Here is a 5,077-nt window from a genome sequence, read left to right as displayed (position 1 = left end):
AAAGAGTCTGTGTTTTATTCAAAGTTGAATGAGAAGCTTCGGGTGGGTTTTGCAAAGGGAAGGGTGTGGTCTGACTTTTTTTGTTTGTTCATTTGTTTTCAGATCACTCTCTCGCTGTGTAGAGGATGGGTTTGAGGAGCATCCATGGGGAGCTGTTGGAAGGCTCCGGCAGAAGACCAGCAGAAAGAGACATGCTCTGACCAGAATCACAGCATTGGGAATGCAGGAATTGCTAAGAGGTCCGAAGCAGAGGAACCGACAAGTAAGACTAAAATATTTGAATTTTTTTCAAACGGAAGGAGCAGTAGAATTAAGAATGAAGCATGGGAGATATCATAATTTTTGTTCAGTTTACTAAGATTTTATCTCAAATTTGAACATGTAACATTTTCATTTCACAAGCCTAATAAACACCATATCCTGATCACTAAAAATAGCAAATTAAATGAGCAAAAATTCATTTGTTCTGGTCTTTTTACAGCATTTCATGTATTGGAAAATAATTATGAAAATGAATATTAAGTTGGCTGCAAGCATCATAATTGCTCTGGAACAAATTCTCTCTGACATAACTTAAAAGGTCTTACCAAATTCTACAGCAACCCATTTAAATCAAACACACTAAGATTTATATCCATAAAATGACTATGCAGTTAGTTTAAAACATTGGTTTTTGTCCCCTCTTAGTCACATGTCAACTCCTAAAGTGAATAAACGTTGATAAATATCAAAAACAACAAAGATTCTCGGTGTACAGATTTACACAGGTGTGTAAGAAATGTCCATTTATTACCTTTACACCCAGGTAGAATCAGCTCTGGTCCCTCATCTCATTTATCCCTAGGGCAATTGTTCTCAACAGGCTGTCAGACTTCTAGCCTCTTTACTCCTGAGGAAATCTTTCCCACCCTCTCTCCTTAACTTGAAAATTGTTCCCCTCTATTCTCCTCTGTCCTTCAAGATAACTTATATTAATCACTTCAATGAGTTAGACTTTTTGAAAAACAAAGGCCAGAAGTTAAAGTAGTATCTTAAAAATGGCTTCAGTTTTTGCCCCTAACATTAATTTCTCCTAAGGGCTGGACCTAGAGACTTCCTTCTAACAAATAAAATATAGCAAAAGTCTTAGAATGTCACTTCCATGGTTAGGTTACAAAAGATTATTTTGGTCATGCTGGCACTCTCTCTCTGGCCCTGTCACTTGACTTCTCTAATAGAAACTAGCAGTCATGTTCTGAACTATCATATGGTGAGGCCCATGTGGTGAGAAACTGAGAGCAGCTTCTGGCCAACAGCCAGTGAGGAACTGAGGCCCTCAGTCCAACAACCTTTGAGGAACTGAATCCTGCCACAACCTCACAAGGAAGCTTAGAAAGGCTCATTTCTCACTCACACCATAAGACCATAGCCCTCGTCAACTCTGAAACCTCTGAGGCTCTGGAGCACAGGACCCAGATAAGCTGTACCCAGATTCTTGACCTGTAGAAAACTGTGACATAGAAACGCTATTGCTTCCAGATTTGAGCTAATTTGTTACATAGCAACATGCAACTAATACAAACTGCCAAGCAATTGTGTTACGTTTGTCAAAGTGTGAAGTTCAGAAATCCAGTAAGAGGGTCTTAGTTATGCTTATCAAATGTCCGGTTCACTATATGTATTAAAAAATATTTGTCAATTAATGAATGAGAAAATATAAGCATAACCAAAACACAGACACACCACAGAGAAAGACCTGGAGTCATTCTTTTGGTATTTTTATAATTTTTTTGAAAGTTGTAGAAAATTGAATAACTGACAGTATTTTAATAAGTTCCTTGAGGTAAATGATAATATATGAAAATTTATGGCAGAGTATAGCAAAATGCTATATTAAAAATGAGGTAATAAAATGATGACTTATTAATCATCAATAAATAATATTGTTATTAAATTTGAGGCTGAAAATTATAAAAGCCATAACAAAAATTCCCCTTTACTTTCCAAATTATTCAATATCTGTATCACATAGAAAAAAATAAAATTAATACTCTAATTGTAAATGGCAACATTTATTCTTTTCACATTCTGGAAAGGGCACAGTTGCACTTGCAACAACCATGCACTGGTGTTAGTAAAGAAGTTTCTCCAAATGACAGACAAGCAAAGGGAAGGGGATATGTTTTTTAGGCAAAATCAGACCTATCCTGTAGAAATGTGACTCTGGAATCCATCACATTCCTCCTGTGTTTTTGATCCTAGAACAGGGTCTGTGTTGCCAATGCCAGCTAATGGCCCAGGGAAGAGGTTTGGCAGATTTAGCCAATAAAAATACAGGATTTCCAATTAAATTTTACATGTTGGATTAACAATGAATAATGTTTAATATAAGTATGCCCAGTAAATTATTTGTTGTTTATCTGTAATTCAAATTTAACTGGTGCTACAGACTGAAATGTGTTCTCCCTAAAGTTCGTATGTTGAAGCTCTAACCCATACTGTAACTATCTTTGAAGATAGAACTTTTAGACGGTAATTAAATAAGGACATAAAGGTGGGATCCTAGTCTAATGGGATTGGTGGCTTTATATGGAGAGAGAGAGAGGGGTCTCTCCACAGCCATGCACCAAGGAAAGGCCATGTGAAGACACAGTGATAACGTGGGCACCTGGCAGCCAGAAGGACAGCCCTCACCAGGAACCAAACCTGCCGATACCTTCCTTTTGGACTTCCCACCCTCCAAAACTGTGAGAAATAAATGTGTGTTGTTTAAGCCACCTAATCCGTGGTATTTTGTTATGGCAGCTTAAGCTAAGACAGCAGGACATCCTATATTTTATCTGGAAACCCTGCCAGTGAGGCCAGATATGAGTGAAGAAGGGAGAGGAGTAGGAAGGAATTCCTTCTAATACCAGTACTGTCCAAACTTGCCTCCCTGTCTCCAAGATGAAGGGAGCAAATTGAACCCTAACCTTCATCACACACCCTCTGTCAGGCTGAGATTTTGAAGCTTCTTGCTCTTTATCTTGATTTCCTCTGAGTGAATGAGTGTGTGTGTGAGTCATTGTAAGGGAGAAATTTGGAAAATGAGGACACTTTGGCCTTTTATCCACAGAAGTGGTTCTGCTTCAAATCAGAGCACAATCCCATAAGGACATGTCCAAAAGTAAGTCTTAGTGATTTTACCTCCCTAATCAAAACACGGATGAAAGCTCCCTGAGGGGAGTTTTGAACTGGATAATTCTTTGTTATGTGAGCCTGTCCTGTGCGTTGTAGGATGTTTAGGACCATTCCTGGCCTCTGTCCTCTAGTAATAACCTCTTCCCCTCAGTTACATTCCAAAATGTTTTCAATCGCCAGCATCACCTGTGAAGTAAAATTGGTCCCAGCTGAGAACCATTAACTTAATCGACACATGCATCAAGGTACTTTAAGAGTATTTTACACTGAATTAGCACAATCTGTGATTGCATTATAAGGTGGGTATCTGAGATTGGCAATCAGGAAAAACTATTTGAACATGGCACCACCCAGCCCAGATTATTCAGCAACTTCGCTAAAGGTAGGTTTCTATATCATGAAAACCTAAGAAAATAATGCTAGCTTAATACAACAATACTTGGTTGTGTGTGTGTGTATGCAAGGAATAGGGTTAAAATACTGTTAATAGAAGAAATATAATCACTGGGTGAGAATATACAATGTCGTCTCCAGAAAAAATTAATTTTCTTCACGATGATACCCTTGTCTAATTGAGAAACAACTGATCACAGCCATATACCTTGTGGAAACCCAAGCTAGAATAAAGGCATTCACTGTCCACCTCTATCTGGAACTCCAACCCCATGCTTGTTGGATCAGAACTCAACTCTCCTCTCTTCAGAGTCAGCATATTCTTTGGAGAAGAAAAACCCCTAACATTTCTTTCCTGCTAAATCTGAGGTGGAACTTACCAGACACACGAAAGGACTGTGGCTTGGACAACTCTACTTGGTGAAGGGTGGAGTTTCCCAAGGGAGAGACAAAATACTCAATGAGAAAAACTGAAAGAAGCTGCTGAGTGAGGACGAGAGAAAGGACTGAAGAGAGAAACTTTGAGAATGAGGAAGCATACGCAGGTGACACTCTGAGACTAAGTGGAGAGGCTTTGGTGTTCCTTTATAGAGGTATGGAGGATGGATTCCCCTTATTAAGTTAAAACTTCTGTCCCTCTCATTTTGCTGTGCTTTGGATTGTTTACTCCAACCCACATCTAAGTGGCACAGTTCACACTGGAGATACATGTATACAATTGCTTATGAAAGGTTTCAATAGAGGGCAGTAAAATGTCTTTGAGGAAGGGGTGGGTATCAGTCAGGTACCTAATAGGAAACTGAGTCCAACTCTGATAATTCAAAAAATATTAATTAAAAGACTACCCCGCTACTCCTCCCATGTGTGCAGAGGGCCGAGGAAACCAATAAGGGATACTGCACTCACTGGCAAGAGCAGGAAGCCAGGACCAATTGGTTTTCACATATTGGTTATTCCCTAATCAATAAGGGAAACCAATAAGGGATATTGCACTCAGACACTGGCAAGAGCAGAAAGCCAGCACCACTCCCAGACCTGAAGGAGCAAGAGCGAGTAGGGCTATCAGAATCTAGTGAAAGCTAGAGTTGTGGGGGAAGGGCCTCCCTCTCAACAGGAGGTACAAATGTGGATGGATGCTGGCACCAGCATAAATGCAGGCCCAAGTGGGTAAGGAGCAGGGAAAATGTTCCATTTTTCCTTCCACCAGTTTAATGTTCTGTAGTCTCCCACTGGCAGAACTCAAGATTGGCAAGAGCGCCCAAGTGATATAGTCAAAAGAAATTGAGTTTAATGAAAAATAAGGCTAAAAATTATAATATGAAGAGTTTATAAAAATGCTCAATAGAAGTAAAATCTAAATTTACTTCTGAGCATTCCAGCAGCCCAAAGAGTTGCATGAAGATGTGCAGTGTCAATATGAGAATCTTCATCTAGTAACTGAGAAGTACAATGAATCCTTCGCTCCAGAAGCTCCATACTTGAATAGTCTCAGGATACACCAAATAAAGCTTTCCTCTCCTATGAG

The 5,077-nt window shown here is 39.3% G+C and overlaps 1 annotated feature.

Moving 5' to 3' along the window:
• Nucleotides 1,148-1,217: an enhancer, noted in NCBI's record as "active region_25012". NCBI's record gives its function as "activates an Ori minimal core promoter by ATAC-STARR-seq in GM12878 lymphoblastoid cells {active_cell/tissue: GM12878}" and the evidence as "EXISTENCE:reporter gene assay evidence [ECO:0000049][PMID:35858748]".

The sequence above is a fragment of the Homo sapiens genome, chromosome 6 (genome assembly GCF_000001405.40).
Source record: "Homo sapiens chromosome 6, GRCh38.p14 Primary Assembly".
NCBI lineage: Eukaryota > Metazoa > Chordata > Mammalia > Primates > Hominidae > Homo > Homo sapiens.
The sequence above is the reverse complement of the archived record's forward strand: the minus strand, read 5'-3'. Positions and strand labels throughout refer to the sequence as shown.